This window comes from Homo sapiens, chromosome 11 (assembly GCF_000001405.40).
Source record: "Homo sapiens chromosome 11, GRCh38.p14 Primary Assembly".
Lineage (NCBI taxonomy): Eukaryota > Metazoa > Chordata > Mammalia > Primates > Hominidae > Homo > Homo sapiens.
This window is the reverse complement of record NC_000011.10, coordinates 128,078,373-128,101,154: the sequence shown is the minus strand read 5'-3', so window position 1 is coordinate 128,101,154 and position 22,782 is coordinate 128,078,373. Positions and strand designations below refer to the sequence as shown.

General features: G+C 36.3%; 1 long non-coding RNA gene across 1 annotated transcript in view; it reads right to left on the bottom strand.

Annotated features, from left to right (window-relative positions):
* LINC02725 (long intergenic non-protein coding RNA 2725) overlaps positions 1-5,396 on the bottom strand; it is an 87,798-nt gene extending 82,402 nt beyond the window's left edge. The window contains exon 1 of the long non-coding RNA NR_183639.1: positions 5,056-5,396. This is a non-coding gene — a long non-coding RNA (long intergenic non-protein coding RNA 2725). The remainder of the gene's footprint in view (positions 1-5,055) is intronic.
* Between the last annotated feature and the right edge of the window lie 17,386 nt (positions 5,397-22,782).

Below are 22,782 nucleotides of genomic sequence, written 5' to 3'. Positions count from 1 at the left end.
TCCAACAACTAAAATACATTTCTGAAAACCAAATAATGATTAGGAAATAAGGAAAAATTGGAAGATAGGGCATATTGTCCACTATTATCCCCATACATTATCATGTTCCTGTCACGTAAGACACTTAATAATGTTTTGTTGAATAAAACATGAATACTTATACATATGCTCCCCAAGAATAAGTAACATAATTCTTAAAAAAGGCAGGGATAAGTCAGTAGTTAAGTCATTTTTACTTCCAGTTCTGTCATACATTTACATTAAAGCCTTGATCAAAGTACACATTTTTAAAACGTTAAATTACTCCTTTAGAAAACTGTATACATTCATATAATTATTAATTTAATAAATTTGTCTAGAACACCTTACATGACATATACATAGGATATAAAGATGGAACAGACCTTTCTTCCCTGAAGGAGCTCATGTCTAGAGAGAAAAAGAAAGAAAAAATCAAGTATATTGATTGACAAGAGAGTGCAATGGCGCTGGAAGAGGTCTAAAAGTACCCTAGTTGGATGTCAGAGCCATTCTGGAAAATCACAGTGGGCTTCCTAGACAAAGTGATGTCCAAGTAAAGTATGAAGGACAAATAGGCACTATCAGGCAAAGAATGTATGAGAAAGGGAAGGGTATTCCCAACAGAGAAAGGACTGAGGCATAAAAAACAGAAATGAGAGAAATTCCAGCACAGGGAAGTGAGAATAGCTCTACAGCGAATGAAATACTGGAAATAGAAAAATGGAAAGATAAAGAATAAGAAGAGAAATGGCAAACTCAAAAGCCATCAGTGCTCAGACAGAAAATTTAAAAATAGGAAGGACATGGTATAAAAAAATGGGGAGTAAAGAGAATTGTGGCAATTGGATTGCATGCCAGGCTAAAGATATTTGTGGTCAAATGATTAGACAAGATACTGGATAAATATAAACAAAGTACTCTGCAGGCTGGAGTTTAAGGTCATGGATCAGCAACATGAGATTCCATGTAGCAGAAATGCATAATGATTTGATTTTAAAAGGCTATAAGTGCCCTCCTAAATAATTTTAATTTAACTTCCAGACAATGGAAAAATACTGAAGAATTTTAAGTAGGGCAGCAACATAATATTTCCAATAAAACAAACAAAAACACACTGTAGGATATAGAGAAAATGGAAACTTGAGCACATACACCTGAAGGTCCATGTACATCATTCTCATGAAAGTAACCAAAAATATAAAAAAAGGGAAATTCTAGACTCTATTCTGAAAACTAGAAAAAGATAGCACCCTAATGCTAGGAATTTTAAAAAATTTGCTGGTAACTTATGCTATAGTGGAAGAGGTAGCCTGATCATTGGCTGTCCACTTAAGTAAGAATATTTGCCCGACATACACATGACAGATCGCATCAGTATATTAATATCAATGTTAATTCAGAGCAGCAAGAAGTGGAGCAGGGACTGGGCTAATGCTACATTTGGATCTCAAAGCCACTTCTGGAAAAGGCACAGTTTCATAGGCCAGTCCAGCCAGGTTACACACAGCAGCACTTATACCCCACTTCCCATAGATGACCATGGGAGATTAAAAAATGAGACATTTCCAAGGCTGGCTACTAACAGGCAGTCAGACCTCAACTGGCTTCAGAACACTACTGTAACTAGAAAACAGATATTTGTCATCTAATCCCATTGTCCCCACTTTAAGTCTCTATTTTTCCTGCATATCTGCCCATGACCTTTGTTCTTAAATTGTTAAGTATCATCTAAGCATGTATCATCTGAACATGACACTGCCTAATAGAGATGTTCGCCTCAATTTGAACTCTAAATCCTGTTTAAATATAGTTAATCCTTTATAAGAATTAGGAGAGAAAAAATACTATTTTGTGAAAACACAATGCAGTTAAAAAAAATGATATCTGTCTGTGAAGTCAGAACAAATATTTTCCATGAAACAGCTCTTCATTAATAGGAAAAATTTATGTTCCTACCCACTGATATGGCTAGGTTTACTTCCCCCACCCAAATCTCATCTTGAACTATAATCTGCATAATTTCCATAATCCCCAGGTGTCAAGGGAGAGACCAAGTGAAGGTAATTGAATCACAGGGGTGGTTCCCCCCATGCTGCTCTCATGATAGTGAGTTCTCATGCGATCTGGTTTAATAAGGGGCTCTTCTCCCTTCAGGAGACACTTCTCCTCCTTGCTGCCTTGTGAAAGAGGTGCCTTGCTTCCCCTTCCCTTTCCACCATGATTCTAAGTTTCCTAAGGCCTCCCCAACCATGCTGAACTGTGAGTCAATTAAACTCCTTTGGAAATCACCCAGTCTCAGGAAGTTATTTAAAATGGACTAATACAGCCATATTAAAAATGTTTTTTAATTTGTTAATTTAACTATAGTTATAAAGGAGGAAAAATCTAACATCAGGAGAGACAAAAATATATGACTTTTCTGTTAAGTAAAACTGTAATTGAGGCAATGAGTAGGAGTTTATATTTGGATTAAAATTGAATACATGATATAAGCATAATGAAAAAATTCTCACAAACCTCAGAAAAAAAGAACAAAAATAATGAGAAAATATACAATGTATATGTGCTTTTAAATATTTTACATAAAATTGGAAATTCAAAAGAGGTGAGTACAAGAGATATAGTGTATGAAATAATAAAAAGTAATTTAAAATGTTTATAATTTAAATAAAAATTTAAGTTTTCATAATGAAATAGATAACTAAAAGTCAAATTTAAAGAAATAGAAATTTGTTAGTGCATTTATGTTAATTTTTAATAGGAATAGCATCTTTTAAGAATCCAGGTAGAAAAAATATATGTTCATAAAGGTAAAAATTTCAGCTGACATCATACTTTTGGCATTTTCTTTCAGAAAATGGTGATGTAATTACACTCATAACTCTTTGGGTATAAAGACAAAACACAAAAATGCTAGGTGAATTGAATGCCCACATGTAACTGAGAACATGGAAAAAAGGAACTCTATATTCTTTTCTACTAACTCTGTTCTTTGATTCACCCTGTCAACTTGGCATATATATCTCCTTAAATCCTACTTAATCTCCAGATAAAGACAGCAACAACATCATAATTCCACACAACATGATACAACTATTGCCATACAACCAAATGTTCACTGATCCCTTCCTCCTAAAGGGAAGAAAATTTCGTTTGTAATAATTTTTATAAAGTACTCTACTCAATTCCCTTTCAAAGTAAAAATTGCTCAGAGAACTATTTCTGTTGAATAAGAGAAGAAAAAAAATAACTCAAGAATGGATAAGTTATGCTACTATAGTACTCATGGTAAAAAATGGTATAGGCAAATAATAAATAATTGTTGTTAATATGGTCACAAATGGAATTTAGGTGTCTAAAATTATTTTTGAAATAAAATTATTCCTATGAAAAAATAATAAGCAAGATGTAAAATAAGAGATTAAAGTAACTAAAATTGAAAAAGATATTCAGGAAGAATTGAATGTATACTGACTTCTTCACATAGTCAATGCAATAAAATATTTCTTTTAATATTTTACGAATTGAAAGCAATGAGAACTTTAAAAATATTTTCTAAAATCTTAAAACCAATCATTGATAGAATTCTAAAAACCAACATCCTATCTTTCAAAATATCAAAAGAATGTAGAAAGCAAAATTAATTATAAATGATCTGATATTTTTCCAAAAAAGGAAGACATAAAAGAAACATAAAATGAAAGGTACCCACAAGTTAAAAAAAAAAAGAAGTATAATTTAATTTTAAAAATTCTCAATTGAAAGGCATAGGCCCATTTGGAGTTAAAAAGGAATCTATTTGTGTGTTATTTATAACAGACGCAAAATAAATGAAAACAAAATCTAAAGCCACCCATAAAAGGAAACAAGGTAGGTAAAATTAATAGCATCCATAATGAAATAAAAGGAAAAAGTCCATATATTTCTGTGTTAGGGTTCTCCAGAGAAACATAATCAATAGATATCTCTATCTCTATCTGTATCTCTCTCTATATATATATATCTATGTATCTATGTAGAGATAGATGTATAGACTTCTCTTTCTGTATACACACACACACACACACACACACACACACGGAGAGAGAGAGACAGGAGAATATTTATTATAAGGGATTGACTCATGTCATTATGAAGGTAAGAAGCCCCATAATTTTTCCTCTGTAATCTTGAGGCCCAAGAAAGCTGGTGGTGTAATTCCATCCCAAATCCAAAGGCCTGAAAACCAGGAAGGCACTGGTATAAGCCCTGGTCTGAGTTCAAAGACCCAAGAACCATGAACATCAAAGTCCAAGGGCAGGAGAAAATGGATGTCTCAGCTCAAGCAGAGAAAGAAACTTCCCCTCTTTTGTTCTATTCAGTCCTTCTGAATATGGGTGCCCACCTGTACTGGTGAAGGCAGATGATCTTAACACAGTCTACTCATTCAAGTGCTAATCTCTTCCAGAAACACCCTCACATACGTGTCCAGAATAAAATTTTACTAGTTTTCTGGGGATCCCTTAGCTCAGTCAAGTTGGCATATAAAATTAATAATTACAGATCTACCTCTTATCAATTTGGCTTATGTATCTCCTTAAATCATACCTAATCTCCAGATAAAGATAACAATAACATCGTGATTTCACCTAACATGATACAACAATTTTCATACTACCAAATACACAGTAATGTCTTCCTCAGAAAAGGAGATGAAGTCCTTGAGTGACATTTTTCTCCTGATGTTCCATAACTTAAATACTATGAAGTAAAATGAACAATACTTAAATCCTTATACAAGAGTCAGTATAGCTTATGTTACCTGATATGGAAAATCAAAAGAGGATAAATAACAAAGATAGTGTTTAACATATGTATATACACATACATACAAGCATATTCATAACAAAATTAGGAGATAATACTCATGACAATTATAGTCCTCATTTCTGGAACTGGCCACATAGTTGTAGCTAGTATTTATAACTACCTTCTACTCCTATCCTGTACAACCCTTGCCTTCAGCAACTCCCTTAGCTGGTCCTGTTTCCTTACCTGGTAGAAGGACTCAAATCTTCATTCCTTGAAGATTCTGCCCCATGAGTTGTTCCGCCTGAACTGAGTTATTGTAGTTTTCCACTGGCCTTAATCGCAATGTGTGGGAACACTAAGGGTGTCCTAAGGGAACTTCTGTATTCCAGATGTACTCTCCCTCACCCCCATGGTGGAGCAATTTCCCTCTTGTTAGTCAGATCAATCACTGTAGCCCACACCATAACTTCCTTATTTGCCTGTTGAATCAGCAGCATGGAGAGCACAAGGTGGCTGGGTGGCAGTCTTAACTCCCAGGTCAAGGAAATTATTCTTGTGTCTCCTGGTGAAGCATTCCATCCTCTGGAACTAAGACGTCTAGGCCAGCAGAGCATAATGTCATGGAAACAGGAAGTAAACATTTTGCTTGTGAGTCACTAGGCGCAGTAGTGAATGATGCCACTCCCACTTCCATTCTTTGATTCCTGGACCCATGAATTCTGGCTACCACATAAATAGCATCATATATTTGACCCTGATTCAGACCATATACAGCCTTCTGGAGAACCATTCCTGCAAGGTATTGCCACCTAGGTGGCACTGTAACTGAGTCTTCAAAAGACAATTCCATCAATGTATCAGGCCAGAAGCTTCAGAATGGTGGAAAACATAGTAAGACCAATGATTTTCATGTTCCTGGCCCTATTGCTGCACTTCCCTTGCTGTGAAGTGAGTTCCTTCATCAAAAGCAATGTGATCTGGAAGACTATGAAAATGGACAAGCCAGTGAGTTAAGTTCACAGATGGTAGTTGTGGTGTGCAAGAAAGGCAAATCCATATTCAGAGCATCTATTCCAGGAAGGGCAAAATACTGCCCCTTTCATGACAGATGTTTTCTAAGGTAATCAATCAGCCTGCTACCAGGTGTTGGCTAATCACCCCAGGGAATGGTGTCATATTAGGAGCCAGGTGTTGGTCTCTGCCATTGGGAGATTAGACACTCAGTTTTCTACAGTCCGGTTAGCCTTGTTGAGTGGAAGTCCATGTTTCTGAGCCCATGCGTAACTTCCATCCTTGCTACCATGGCCTCTTTGTTCCTGAGCCCAGTGGGAAATGACAAAGTTGGCTGGAGAAAGAGACTGATTTGTATTCATCCACACAATGGGTCATTCCATCCACTTTAATGTTAAAATCCTTCTCTGCCAAGCTCACCCTTTGGTGAGCATTCACATGAAATACAATATATCCATTATTTTTTGCTTATTCATAGAGGTGTGCCCACATCTCTCTTCCCCAAATTTTTTGTCACCAATTTTTCCATGTGTCCTTTCTAAGTTTCTGATCATCCAGAAAAAGAAGAACACTCGCTACAGACCATGAATTGGCAGGTAATCACCTCTCTAGCCATTTCTCTTTCTAAGAAAAGTGAATCATCAGGTGGAATGGTTGAAGTTCTGTCCACTGGGAGGATTTTCATTCACCACTGTCCTTCAGGGATATCCCTGAGAGGGGCTATAGGGGTGCAGTTGTCCCTTTTTGTGTTATGCCTGCATATTTTGCAGAATCCTCTGTAAACCAGGCTGAGTCTTCTCTTCCTCTGTCAACTGCTCATAGGGAATTTTTTAATGACTTCATAGCTGCAGGCTGGCAGAGAGCAGGAAGTGTAGCAGGAGTGGGGATCATGGGCATTTGGGCCACTTCTTAATGTCACTTACCTGTGCCTTCAGGACCTGCTTAGCCCCAGTCACATCCATTTGATGGACGAGTGTTGCTATGTACTCTCAACTTTATGGCTTTGTGGGTCAGGTAGCCACCAATTCATGATGAGCAGCTCAGGACATATGATAACATGGTGGTTCATGGTCAGCCATTCAGTCTCTATAAAGGCTCAATAGCTGGCCAAGAGCTGACTCTCAGAGGGAGAGTAGTTATCTGTGAATGACAGCATAACCTTACTCCAAAATCCTCAAGTCTTGCACTATGGTTTCTTTATAGGGTCCTGCCAAAGTCTCCAAACAATATCCCTATCTGCAGTTGATACTTTGACACCATAGGATGTGCTGAATTATATAGCCCAAGTGGCAGAATAGCTCTCACAGCAGGCTGGACTTGCTGCAGGGCCTTCTCTTGTTCTGGACACCACTTAAAACTAGAAGCTCTGATTCAGTTTGGCTGTGTCCTCACCCACATCTCACCTTAAAGTGTAATAATACCCAAAGGTCAAGGGTGGGGCCAGGTGGAGATAATTGATTCATGGGGGTGGTTTCCCCTGTACTGTTCTTGTGGTAGTGAATAAGTCTCAAGACATCTGATGGTTTTATAAACGGGAGTGCCCCTGCACAAGCTCTCTTGCCTACCAACATGTAAGATGTGCCTTTGCTCCTCTTTCACCTTCCGCCATGATTGTGAGGCCTCCTGAGCCATGTGAAACTGTGAGTTCATTAAACCTTTTTTTAATAAAATTACCTCCATACTGTTCTAATTTACATTTCTACCAACAGTGTACGAGTGTTCCTCTTTCATCTCAGCTCACCAGCATTTGTTATTTTTCATCTTATTGATAAAAACCATTTTAATTTGGGTAAGAGAATATTTTATTGTGATTTTTATTTACATTTCTCTGATGATTAGTGATGTTGAGTACGTTTTCATTTACCTATCAGTCCCTTACATGTCTTCCTTTGATAAATATCTATTCAGATCTTTTGCATATTTTTCATCAGATCATTTATCATTGTTGCTGAGCTGAGTTTCTTATATATTCTGATTATTAATCTCTTATTAATTGAATAGTTTGCAAGTATTTTCTCTCATTATGTAAGTTGTCTCATCCCTTTGTTGAGTATTTTCTTTGCTGTGCAAAAGCTTTTTAGTTTGATGGGATCCCATTTGTGCCGTTTTGTTTTAGTTGCCTGAGCTTTTGGGGTCTTAATCAAGAAATCTTTGAAAGTGTCATCTACAGAATCACCTAGCTCTTTGTTTCTCATAACTGAGTGATAAAGAGTACTTACCACAAACATATTGTTTCTCTATAAATAGCTTATTCAATGGACTATTAGTCCTCCTTTTACTACTGGAAATGGAGTAATTAGCATATTTAAGTCTAATCAGATTAGAGAACAAATTCAGAGAAACCACAGAACCAACTCAGAAAACTTATCCTTAAAACTTTGTTTCTCTAGAGTCATTTTCCACAATTCATTTTGTATTAAATATTATAATATACCTTTAAGATATAGTAAAATATAGTGGTCATAAACCTATATGTTCTCAATGACGGCTAACATATATAATGACAAAATATAGATATAAAAATTGGTTAAATTATAATTGTAACAGAGCACACACATTAATTCCTTGTCACATCAGGTATGTAAAGTACTGATAGAAATGGTTTGAGATAAACTCTTAGATTTAGTCATTTGAATTATGAGATTTTTGTGTATAAGGAGGTTTATTTAATATCCTTATTTTAACTTTGTGTGGTCTACAGAGGCACTCAAAGTTCCTAGAGAAAGAACCAGAACTATGCAATTATAGTGGTAGTTTTATATTGCAACATGTTACATTAACTTTTTCTCTCAAAGTGCCTATGATTTGTTAGTTGATAGCACTGATAATTAAATATATTATGTCCTTAAAATACAATATTTGTATTGATTTTACTTCTTTCTAATTTTTTTCTCTCTTTTTGTATTAAAGGTTTAGGAATTATGTAAATTATGGATACCATGCATTATATTTTGTTAGTACGCATAATCTCAGTCTTTTGGTAATAGCTATCAATAAACAAAGAAAAAACAACCATATTATAGAATAATTAATTAGGTGAAAACATATTTTAAAATAGTGTTTTACTTCTCTATGGATATGTCTATTTACTAATATTTGATAATAATTTAACAAAAATTGGAATCAATATAGAAATTAAGGAGAATAGTTTTTTTTTCATTAAAATTAGTACTGTTGACCTAAGATACGTAAGCCACTATAGGGTTCTCATAAATTTAATATACTTGAAAGGCACAGATGAACATATTGTACCTAAAATAAATATTCACATTTTCTCAAGCCTTCATAGAACATTTACAAAATGTGGATAGTCAATTAAAAATATGTATATAATTCCCAAAGTAAGTAATATGGTTACCTTCTCTGTCCACAATAAATTCAAGCTAAAAGGAAACAATGAACAACAAAAACCAAAACCAAACTGAAATCCTACTCTCCTAATAACTTTTAGATCATAAAGAAAACAGCACTAGAAAAGCAGGCTAATGAGAAAACAATAAAAATTATAGAAGGTGTGTAAGAAAACATATATAATGCAGATGCAGAAATATAAAAAGAAAATTTTATATTTCAAAATACAATATGAGGGAGGAATTATGCTGATGAAAGATTTTTGTGAAGTAATATAACATGTGAAGGTATATATTGATAATGTAAAGATGCATAATGACTCTATTGAGAAAGCACTAAAAATAACATCAGGAACAGAAAGAAAAATTCAATAGAAGAACCAAATACCCAAAAGCCACAGAAAACAAAAGGGTCACAAAAGGAATAAGAGAGAAACAAGAAACTGATGATACTAACAAAAGTCACATCAATAATTAAAGGAAATTTTTTAAATAAAATTACTTCCATATTGTTCTAATTTACATTCCAAGGAAAGAACACAATGTATCCAACTGGATACAAAAGCAGGATCCAGCTTGATAACTGCTTATAACATCCACACTTTAAATACAAATGTAGTCAGACTAAAAATATAAGGGTGGAAACAGATATACTATATATACTAAACTAAAAACAAAGTAATTATAGCTATATTCACATTAGGAAGGGTAAATTTTAAGGCAAAGAACATTACCAAAAATTAAAAAAAGGATATGTCATTAAGAACTATAACATTCATAAGTATATATAAACAAAATAACTGTTTAAATATATAAACAAATGAATTAAAAGGACACATAAAATATATGCAATTATGTATGAAGATTTTAACAACTACTTGTTATAAAAGTAGAAAAATATCAGGAAATATACAGAAGAGTTGAAAAAATATTATCAATCAATTCAATCTAATTGAAATGAGTAAAACATTACAGAAAACTGCAAAATCCACATTATTTGAAAGTTTTCATGCAGTGTTCACCATGATAGGCCATGTACTAGGTCATAAAATACATACTAATACATTTCAAAAGACTGAAATTATTGAGTATGTTCTCTGACTGTGGCAGTATTAAAGAGAAAACCAATAACAAGATTTAAAAAAAATACGTAAATCCTTAAAAATCAAGCAGCATATTATTAAAATAATTCATCAGTCCAAAAGAAATCCTTCTTTTGAATAGAATGATAATAAAAACACAAAATGTCAAAATTTTTGAAATGCAGGTAAAACATTGTAAACAAAAAATTGTAGGCTTAAGTTCTTATATTTGGTTAAAAATAAATATTTAAAATCCCTTTTCAGAGCCTTCATGTTAAGAAGATTAGACAAAATGAAAAAAGAAGAAGGGGAAGGAGGTGCAGGATAAGGAGAAGGAAAAAGATGAGGAGGAAGAGAAGAAACAGCAAATAAAGCCAAAATAAGTAGTAGAGATAAAAATAATAATAAAAAGGTGACAAAATTCAACAAAATAGAAAATAATGAAGAAAGTCAACAGTCAAAAGTTGGTTCACCAACAAAACTGATAAAATCCTCAAACTGAAAAAGAGAAAAGATGGACCACAAATATTAGTAATTAAGAGAGATATCACTATAAATCCTACTGACTTGAAGGCAGAAAGAATAGCCCTTGCCAGACATTGAACCTACTAACACTTTGATCTTGGACTTTCCAGCCTCCAGATCTATGAGAAAATAAATTCCTGGTTTTATAAATGATTTAATCTTAGGTACTCTGTTTTATTATCACAAAACATAGAAAGAACTTGGTTCCAGGAGTGGGGTGTTGCTATGGCAAATACCTAAAAATATAAAAACGGCTTTGGAAACAGTTAATGGGTAGAAGGTGAAACTGTTTTGAAATTCATGCAGAAAAAAGCTTGTATTACCATGAGCAGAGCATTAAGAACAATTCTGACAAGGGCTCAGAAGAAGAGGAGAGATATAGGGAAAAACTTGCCTTTTTAGACATTATTTAAGTGGTCATGAAAAGAATGTTGGTAGAAATATGGAGAGTAAAGGCTATTCTGATGAGATCTTAGGTGGAAATGAGGAACAAGGTATTGGAAACTGGAGATACAACCATCCTTGTTAAAAAGGGGCAATGAGCTTGGTTGAATTATATGTGACCTAGGACCCTGTGGAAGGAAGAACTGAAGAGTGATTAACTAGTGTATTTGTCAGCAAAATATCTAAACAACAAAGCACTTAAGATGCTGCATGGCTTCTTTCAACTGCTTATAGTAAAAGGGAAGAAGGAATAAATAATTTAAAGATAAAATTTATAATTAAAAGAGAAGCAGATTGTAAAGATTTGGAAAATTAGCCTGGCCATGTAAAGAAAAAAAAATGTGTGCTTAGGAAAGGAAATCAAGGATGTAGACATGAGATCATTTTATAAAAAGATTAGTATAAATAGAAGAAAGCCATGTACTATTCATAACGAAAGTAGTAGAATGAACTTAAAGGCATTTGAAAGATCTTCCAGGCTGCCATGCGCATCACAGGCCCAGAGTTCCCTCACCTTGGGGTCAGAATAGTTTGGGGAGAGGTTCCTAGGGTGCTTGTGATACCTTAGCTCTCTGTTCTCTGTATTCCAGTGTATTACTTCTTGGCCACCCTAGCTGTGGTGCAGGTGGGCCTAGGTGTGACTTGAGATGTGACTTAAGGGCACATGCCTTAAACTTTGGCATCATCTATGTGGAATGCAGAGCACACAAGCTGTGGAAGTATGGCTGCCTCTACTTACACTTCAAAGAATATCTCAGACAGCCTTCCTGAGGCAGAGAACTATATAGCAGAGGTGGGGGCTCCAAATACAGTCCATGCTAGGACAATGTCCAGAAGAACTGTGGGGTCAGAACTATCCCCAAGGCCTGTTAACTATAGAGCCACCAACATGCAACTCCTGCCTGGGAGGACTGTAGACACCTAACTATCTCTGAGAGCTGTGGCATGGGCTGCAGTCAGTGAAGCTGTAGGGGAGGGGAGCATCCCCACCCATGTGTGTCCTCTTGGTGGGACATGGAGTTCAAAAAGACTATTCTCTAGCCTTATCATTTAATGTTGTTATCCCTGTTAGGTTTTAAACTTAGTTGGGACCTGCTACCTCTTCCTTCTTACCTATTTATTCCTTTTGGAACAGGAATGTCTATTCTATGCCTGTATCACCATTGTATTTAGAAGTACATAACTTGCTCATTTCACAGGCCCACAGTTTAAGAGAAATTTGCCTCTGGATGAATTGTTCCTTGAGTCTCACCCATTTCTGACTTACTTAGATGGAAATCTGGATTTTAGACTTTTGAGTTGATGTTGGAACAAGTACAGACTTTTGAGGCTATTTGGATAAAGTGAAGGTGCATTGCACGTGAGAAGGACATTAGTGGGGGAGGGCAGGGAAAGAATGCCATAGTATGAATGTGTCCCTTATAATTCAAAATTCATCTCTTGAAAAAACTCTCCAATGTAACAGTATTAAATAGTATGGCCTTTTGGGAGGTAGTTAAGTCATGAGTGCCACACCTTCATGAATAAATTAAAACTGTTATAAGAGGGCTTCGTGAAGGGAGTTCATTCCTTTTTGTCCCTCTGCTATTTAAAGACTCAGTTTTTCTCACCTCCAGAGGACACAGTAACAAGGTACCATCCTGAAAGCAGAGATAACAGCCCTCACTAGACACTAAGCATACTGGCATCTTGATTATGGACTTCTCAGGCTTCAGAACTATATTAAAAATTATGATTTTATAAATTATCCAGCCTCAGGCATTCCACTGTAGTAGCACAAAAAACCCCTAAGACACCCAACAACCAACAATTGGAAAATGAATTTTTAAACAGCAATTCTATTTACATCAGCATAAAAATTTAATACCAAAAAAAGTCCTTAAAACACATGCAAGAGGTGAAAAATAAAATAGTGCTGAGAGAAATAAAAGAAGACATATATAAGTGGATTGATATATCATGTTCATAGGTCAGAAGACAGTATTATCAAGAGGTACATAATGTAGAATGCACATATTGATTGATTTAACACCATTCTAATAAAAAATACTACTTTTTTTTTTAGATGGAGTGTTACCCAGGCTGGAGTGCCATGGTGTGATCTTGGCTCCCTGCAACCTCTGCCTCCTGAGTTCAAGTGATTCTAGCGCCTCAGCCTCCCAAGTAGCTAGGATTACAGGCACCCGCCACCAGACCCAGCTAATTTTTGTAGTTTTTAGTAGAGCCAATGGGGTTTCACCACGTTGGCCAGGCTGGTCTCAAACTCCTGACCTCAAATGATCTGCCCCCTTAGGCCTACCAAAGTGCTAGAATTACAGCCATGAAGCTCTGCACCCAGCCAATACTAGCATTTTGATAAGAAAACTTATAATTTATTTAGGAATTCAAAGCATATATAAGAACAGAATAATCTTGAAGGTCGAAAGAACAACTTTGAAGAACTTTATCTTATTTTCAATTCAATATAATGCCATAGTAACGAAGACACAGTTACTATTGGTAGTATTGGTGCAATATTACATAAATGGATCACTGGAATTGAATAAAGAGTCCAGAAATAAAGCTTCATATTTATATCTAATTGGTTTTCGACAAAGTTGTCAACTCAATAAAGAAAGAAAATTATTTTTACCATATTTTACGGAAGGACTGTATTTTCATTTGTAAAAATAAAAATTGTAATCCTGAACTCACTCCATATACAAAAGTCAATTTGAAATAGAGTGTAGTTCTAAATGTAAATGCCAGGTCCATAGATGACAGAAATAACATTAATCATAAAAGAAAATACTTGAGGGATGGGCCAATACGGCAGACTAGAAGCAGCTCACGTGAGCTACTTTCATAGAGAGAAAACAAAATGGGTAGTGAACCTTGACCTTGCAGGCTGATCATCTGAGAAATCATGTTGGGATTCATCAAGGCAGCAGGGGGACACAGAGAGCAGACAGGAGTAGAGGTAGACACCAGCCTGTCTGGGTTCAGCATGAAGTCAGGAGAACTCCTACAACATGGGAAAGGGTGAGTGAGTGAGAGCCTCCTGGGGGATTCACACTCTTCACAGGGACCTGTGCAAGACTGAGAATGGGAGAATCCTCTTGGCCCCTTTACACTCACCCAACATGTTTCTAGACTGAGACAGAGAGCTACCTGGATGTTTTGCAAGAGAAACTCTCCAATCCAAAAGAAACTACAAGACATGAGCCCCAGAGCAGACCAATACTGGTGCCATATTCCCAACAGAGGCCACAGTCACAATGGCCCTTTCCTGGACAGGGCTCAGCAAGAGATTCCAGCTCAGTTGTCCCACTTCTCCCGGGACTCGGCTGGCAGCCACAGCCTCCTGTTGTCTTGGCAAACACGTGGACAGTAGGGCAGACAACTTCATAACTGCCACTACAGGTAGCTAGGGAGGCAATTCCTGCTGGAGCTGCCAGTCCAGCAGTCCTACTACTATGTGAACTCAGACAGAGGGCACAACCTCCTGTTGTCCCAGGAAACATCACCCAGAGAGCAGGGTGGGCAACCCCACCCACCCCTGCAACTAGTAGCCAGGCAGGCAACTCCTTCTAGAGCTTCCAGCTCAGTGATCCCTCTTCTGCCTTAATGCAGCCAGTGAGGAAAGCCTCCCATTGGCCCGGGAAACACCCAGACAGCAGGGTGAGTTACCCTACCCATTCTCACTGCTAGTAGCCAGGCAGGCAATTCTGGCTAAAGTTTCTAGTCCAGCAGTCCTGTTTCTGTGTGAACTCAGCCAGTGGGTACAGCCTCCTGTTGTCCTGGAGAGCACTGGGATGGCAGAGCAGGTGACTAGATCTACCCCTGCTACTGGTTACATGTGGGAAATACCTGCTAGAGCTTTCAGGCCAGTGGTCCCACTTCTGTCTAAACTTAGCCAGTGTGCTCAGCCTCCTGTTGTCCTGGGAAACTCCCAATGGCAGAGTAGGTGACTCCACCTAGTCCTACTTCTCATAGCCATGCCAGCCACATCTTCTAGATCTTCCAGTCCAGTGTTCTGACTTCTGCTTGAATTTGTTGAGGAGTGCAGCCTCATATTGCCTGGGAAATACCCAGATGGCCGGGCAGGCAACTGCACTCACCTAGTCTTTCATAGCCAGATTAGCTACACCCACTAGTATGTCCAGTTCAGCAGTCCCACTTTTGCCTGAACTCTGTGGGCAGCTATAACCCCTCTTTTCCCTGAGGAAGCACTCAGGCAGCAGATTAGGCCTGACCCGATAAGGATACACCCTTGGAACGGAGCACCCCAAAAAGGAATGCAGTCTTGGAGACAGTAATCATAGGGGGTTTCACAAGACCCAAGAGCAGACAAAAATCAAGCCAGTTGATTAAACCCACCTTATATCACAATCAAACCCTCAAGGGCATCAAAGAAGATAAAAGAAAAAAAACTACTGAAGCTACAGCAACTTCAAAGATTGAAGGGATATCAGCCCACACAGATGAGAAAACAACAGTGCAAGAACTCTGGCAAATCAAAAAGCTAGGGTGTCTTCTTACCTCTAAATGCCTGCACTAGTTCTCCAACAATGGTTCTTAACCATGCTGAAATAGGTGAAATGTCAGAAATAGAATGCAGAATATGGATAGGAAGAAAGATCATTGACATCTAGGAGAAAGTTGAATCCCAGTCCAAGGAATCTAATAAAAACAATAAAATGATACAGGAGATGAAAAACAAAATGATCATTTTAAGAAAGATCCAAACTGAGCTGATAAAGTTTAAAAGCTCACTTCTGGAATTTCATGATACAATCACAATTATTAACAGTGGAATTGACCAAGCTGAGAAAAGAATCTCTGAGTTCAAAGACCAGTTCTCCAAAATAACTGAGTTAGATAAAAATAAAGAAAAAATAAAGAAGAATGAATAAAACTTAGAAAAATATGGGATTATGTAAAGAAACCAAATCTATGACTTTTTGATGTCCCTGTAGGGGGAGAAAAGCAGTTTGGAAAACATATTTGAAGATATCATCCACAAAAATTTCCCCAATCTCACTAGAGGGGTCAATACTCAAATCCAGAGAACCCCTGCAAGATACTATACAGGACAATTATTTCTAAGACACACAGTCATTAGATTCTCCAAGGTTAAAATGAAAGTAAACTGTTAAAGGCAGCTAGACAGAAGGGGCAGGTCACCTACACAAGAAACTCCATCAGACTAACAGTCGATCTAAGAGCAGAAATCCTACAAGCCAGAAGACATTGGGGGTGTCTATATATTCAGCATTTTTAAGGAAAGGAAATTCCAATGAAGAATTTTATATCCAGCCAAACTAAGTTTCATAAGTGAAAGAGAAATAAGGTCCTTTTCAGACAAGCAAATGCTAAGAGAATTTGTTACCATCAGAGCTGCCTTACAAAAGGTCCTCAGGGAGTGCTAAATATGGAAAAAAAGGACCATTACCAGCCACCATAAAAACACACTTAAGTGCATAGATCACTGACACTATAAGGCAGCCACACAGTTAATTCTGTTAATTCTGCATAATAACCAGCTAACAACACAATGACAGGATCAAACCTGCGCATATCAATATCAACTTTTAATGTAAGGAGGCTAAATACCCCATTTAAAAGGCACAGAATGGCAAGTTGGGTAAAGAAGTAAGACCCACCTATATGCTGTATACAAGAGACTCATCTCACATGCAATGACACCCACAGGTTCAAAGTAAAAGAATCGAAAAACATCTACCAAGCAAATGAAAAGCAGAAAAAAGCAGGGTTGCAATCCTAATTTCAGATGAAACAGACTTTCAACCAACAAACATAAAAAAAGACAAGGGTAATGGTAAAGAGTTCAAGTTAACAAGAAGACCTAACTACCCTAAATATATATGCACCCATCACAGGAGCACCCAGATTCATAAAGCAACTTCTTAGAGACATTCAAGGACACTTAGACTCCCACAAAATAATAGTGGGAGACTTCAACACCCACTGACAGTATTAGACAGATCATCAAGCAGAAAACTAACAAAGATATTAAGGACTTGAACACAACACTGGACCAAATAAATCTCATAGACATCTACAGAACTCTTCAACCCCCACAACAACAGAATATACATTCTTCTCATCTGCCCATGGACATGCTTTACAAAAGACCACATAATTGGCCATAAAACAATCCTTAGAAAATTCAAAAAAAGTAAAATCATACCAATCACACTCTCAGACCACAGCACTATAAAAATAGAAATTAATACTAAGAAAATCACTCACAACCATACAGTTACATGGAAATTAAACAACCTGCACCTAAATGACTACTGAGTAAACAATGAAATCAAGGCAGAAATCAAGAAATGATTTGAAACAAATGAGAACAAAGATACAATATACCAGAATCTCTGGGATACACCTAAAGCAGTGTTAAGAGGAAGGTTTATAATGCTAAGCACTCATTCAAACAAGCAGAAAGATCTCAAATTAACAATCTAACATCACACCTAGAGAAACTAGAGGAACAAGAGCAAACCAACTCCAGAGTGAGCAGAAGACAAAAATAAACAAAATCAGAGCTGAACTGAAGGAATTTGAGACTCAAGAAGCATACAAAAGATCAGTGAATACAGTATGTGTTTCTTTATTATTGAATACAGAATTCAGCTTTATTAGTCTAGTAGTGTACTAGCTACTAGTCTAGTAGCTTTATTAGTCTAGTAGGCTACTAGCTACACTAATAAAGAAAAAAAGAGAGAAGATCTAAATAAACTCAATCAGAAATGACAAAGGGAACATTACCACCAACCCCATAGAAACACAAAAAATCTCAAAAGACTACTGTGAACACCTTGATGCACACAAACTAGAAAACCGATGAAATAAATAAATTCCTGAGAATATATAACATCTCAAGATTGAACCAGGCAGAAATGGAATTCCTGAACAGATCAATAACAACTTCTAAAATTGATTTAGTAATAAAAAGCCTACTAGCAAGAAAAAGTCCAGGACCATATAAGTTCACAGCAAAATCCTACCAGATATATAAAGAAGAGCTGGTAGAATTCCAGTTGAAACTATTCCAAAAAATTGAGAAAGAGTGACTTCTCCCTAGTTTGTCCTATGAGGTCAGCATCATCCTGATACCAAAACCTGGCAGAGACACAACATAAAAATAAAACTTCAGGCCAATATCCTTGATAAACATGAACAATTCTAGCAAATCGAATCTAGAAGCACAAGATAAAGCTAATCCACCGCAGTCAAGTAGGCTTTATCCCTGAGATGCAAGATTGGTCAACATATGCAAATCAGTAAATGTGATTCACCACATAAACAGAACTAAAAACAAAAAACCTTATAATTTTCTCAGTAAAAGCAGAAAAGGCTTTTGATAAAATTCAACAGCTTTTCATGTTAAAAACCCTAAAAAAAAACTAATCAATGAAGAAACATACCTCGAAATAATAAGAGCTATTTATGACAAACCCATAGCCAGCATCAAATTTAATGGGCAAAAGCTATAAGCTTTCTTCATGAGAACTAGAACAAGACAAGGATGCCCACTCTCACCACTTCTATTCAGCATGATATTGGTAGTCCTGGCCAGGGCAATCAGGCAAGACAGATAAATAAAAGGCATCCAAATAGGAAGAGAGGCAGTCAAATATCTGTTTGCAGACATGATTCTATACTAGAAAACTCCATAGTCTCTGCCCAAAAGTTTATAGATCTGATAAACAATTTCAGCAAAGTCTCAGGCTACAATTCTATGCACAAAAATCAATAGCATTTCTTCCTTTCTTTCCTTTCTTTTTCTTTCTTTCCTTTCTTTTTCTTTCTTTTTTCTTTCTTTCATCTTTCTCTTTTTCTTTCATCTTTCTTTCTCTCTCTTCTTTCCTTCCTTCCTTCCTTCCTTCATTCCTTCCTTCCTTCCTTCCTTCCTTCCTTCCTTCCTTCTTTCTTCTTGATGGAGTCCCACTCTGTCACCCAGATTGGAGTGCAGTAGTGCGATCTTGGCTCACTGCAACCTCCACCTCCCGGGTTTAAGCGATTCTCCTGTCTCAGCCTTTCGAGTAGCTGGGACTACAGGTGCCTGCCACCACACCTGGCTAATTTTTGTATTTTTAGTAGAGATGGGGTTTCACTATATTAGTCAGTCTTGTCTTGAACTCCTGACCTTGTGATCCACCCACCGTGGCCTCCCAAATTGCTGGGATTACAGGCTTGAGCCACCATGCCTGGCCAATCAGTAGCATTTCTATACACTAACAACATCCAAGCTGAAAGCCAAATCAAGAATGCAATCACATAAACAGTAGCAAAAAAAGAACAAAGTATCTAGGAATACAGCTAAATGAGGAGGTAAACAATCTCTACAAAGTGAACTACAAAACTGCTAAAAGAAATGACACAAATAAATGAAAAAATATTCCATGCTTATGGATAGGAAGAATCATTATCTTTACAATGGCCATACTGCCCAAAGCAATTTATAGATTTACTACTATTCTTATCAAACTACCAATGACACTCTTCACTGAATTAGAAATAACTATTTGAAAATTCATATAGAACCAAAAAATTTTAAAAGATCTCAAATAGCCTAGACCATTCTCAGCAGAAAGAATAAAGCTGAAGGCATCACACTATCCAACTTTAAACTATTCTACAGGGCTACAGTAATGAAAACAGCATGGTGCTTGTACAAAACAGACATGTAGACCAGAATAGAGAGCCCAGAAATAATGCCAATCACATACAACCATCTGATCTTTGACAAAGTTGACAAAAACAAGCAATGGGAAAATGCTTCCTATTCTATAAATGGTGGTGAGATAACTGGCTAGCCATATTCAGAAGATTGAACCTGGACCCCTTTCTTACACCATATACAAAAATCAACTCAAGGCTGATTAAAGACTTAAATGCAAACTCTAAAATTTAAAAAACTCTGGACGATAACCTAGGAAATACCATTCTGAACATAGGCCCTGGCAAAGATTTCATGACAAAGATGCTGAAAGTAATGGCAACAGAAACAAAAATTGAAAAATTCGGGCCTAATTAAAATAAAGAACTTCTGCAAAGCAAAAGAAGCCATCAACACAGTAAACAGACAACCTACAGAATGGGAGAAAATATTTGCAAAGTATGCATTCAACAAAGGTCTAATATCTAGGATCTAAAAGAAACTTAAACAAATTAACCAGAAAAAAAAACAAACAACCCCCTTAAAAAGTGGACAAAGGACATGAACAGGTATTTTTCACAAGAAGACATAACATGTGGCCAATAAGCATAAAAAAAATCATACCATGAGTGAAGAGGGATAGTTTGACTTCTTATATTCCTATATGGTTGCCTTTTATTTCTTTCATTTGCCTGATTGCTCTGGCTATCACTTTCAGTACCATTTTGAATAGGAATGATGAGAGGGAGCATGTTTGTCTTGTTCCAGTTCTTGAAGGTAATGCTTTCAGTTTTTACCCATTCAGTATGATGTTGGCTGTGAGTTTACCGTAGATGGTGCTTATTATTTTGAGGTATGTTTCTTTGATACCCAGTTTGTTGATGGTTTTTATCATGAAAATGGATGTTGGATTTTATTAGAAGCTTTCTGTGTTTTTTGAGATGATCATATGGTTTTAGTTTTTAATTCTGTTTTTGCAGCGAATTGCATTTATTGGTTTGCATTTGTTGAACCACCTTTGCATCCCAGGGATAAAGCCTACTTGATTGTGGTGGATTAACTCTTTGATGTGCTGCTAGATTTGGCTTGCTAATATTTAGAGGTTTTTTGTTTGTTTGTTTTGTTTTGTTTTTGAGATAGTCTCACTCTGTTGCCCAGGCTGGAGTGCAGTGGTGTGATCTCAGCTCACTGGAACCTCTGCCTCTCAGGTTCAAACTATCCTCCTACCTCAGTCTGCTGAGTACTTGAGACTACCATTGTGTGCCACCACACCTGGCTGGTTTGCTAATATTTTGTTAAGAATTTTTGCATCTATGATCATCAAGGATATTGACCTGAAGTTTTCTTTTTTATGTTATGTCTCTGCCAGGTTTTAGTATCAGGATGATGCTGGCTTCATAGAATGAGTTAGGGAGAAGTCCCTCTTCCTCAGGTTTTTGGAACAGTTTTAGTAGAAATGGTACCACCTCTTTTTATACATCTGGTTGAATTTGGCTGTGAATCCATCTGGTCCTGGGCTTTTTCTTGGTAGGTGTTTTTTATTACTGAAACAATTTTGGAATTTGTTACTGGTTTGTTCAGGGATTCCATTTCTTCCTGGTTCAGTCTTGGGAGGTTTTACTTTTCCTGCAATTTATTCATTTTATCTAGACTTTCTAGTTTGTGGGCATAGAGGTGTTCATCATAGTCTGAAGATCTTTTGTATTTCTGTGGGATCAGTTGTTACATAACATTTATCATTTCTGGTTGTGCTTATTTGGATCTTCTCTCTTTTTTTCTTTGTCAATATAGCTTGTGGTCTATCAATTTTGTTTCTCCTTTCAAAAAGCTGACTTTTGGTTTCATTTACTTTTTGTATGGATTGCTGAGTCTCAATTTTATTCAGTTTTGCTCTGATTTATATATTTCATGTCTTTTGCTAGCTTTGGAGTTAATTTTTTCTAATTTTTCTGGCTCCTCTAGGCATGGCATTAGTTAATTAACTTGGGACTTTTTAACTTTTTGAGCTTAGCACTATAAACTTCCCTCTTAATACTGCATTTTCTGTATCCTGGAGATTTTACTATATTGTTTTTCTGTTTTCATTTATTTGAACATTTTTTTTTATTTCTGCCTTGATTTTGCTTTTTATTCCAAAATCATTCAGGAGCAAGTTGTTTTAATATCCATGTAACTTTATTGTTTTGAGAGTTCTTCTTGGTATTGATTTCTATTTTTATTCCACTGTGCTCAGATATTATGGTTGGTATAATTTTAATTTTTTGAATGTATTGAGACTTGCTTTATGGCCAAGCATGTAGTTAATCCTGAGTTATGTTCTGTGTGCTGATGAGAGGAAAGTATATTCTGTAATTGATGGGTGGAGTATTCTATAGATGTCTCTTAGCTCTAACTGATCAAGTGTTGAGTTCAATTCCAGACTGTCAGTTTTCTGCCTTAATGATCCCTGTAATGCTGTCAGTGGGGTGTTAAAATACCACATCATTATTGTGTGGCTTTCTAAGCTTTTTTATAGGTTTAGAGGTATTTATTTTATGAACCTTAATTGCTCCAATATTGGGTGTGTATATATTTAGAATATATCAATTGAACTCTTTATCATTATGTAATTCTTTCTTTTTTTTCTGATGTTGGTTTAAAGTCTATTTTATCTAATATAAGAATAGCAACCCCTGCTCTTTTTTATTTTGTTTGCATGGTAGATCTTTTCCAACACTTTACTTTGAGCCTATGTGTGTTATTGCATGTGAGATCAATCTCTTGAAGATAGAAGATGGATAGATCTTGTTTTTTTTTTTAATTCAAGTTTCCATTATATGCCTTTTATGTGGGGCATTTAGACTATTTGTATTCAAGGTTAATATTGATATTTGAGGTAGATTGTAAA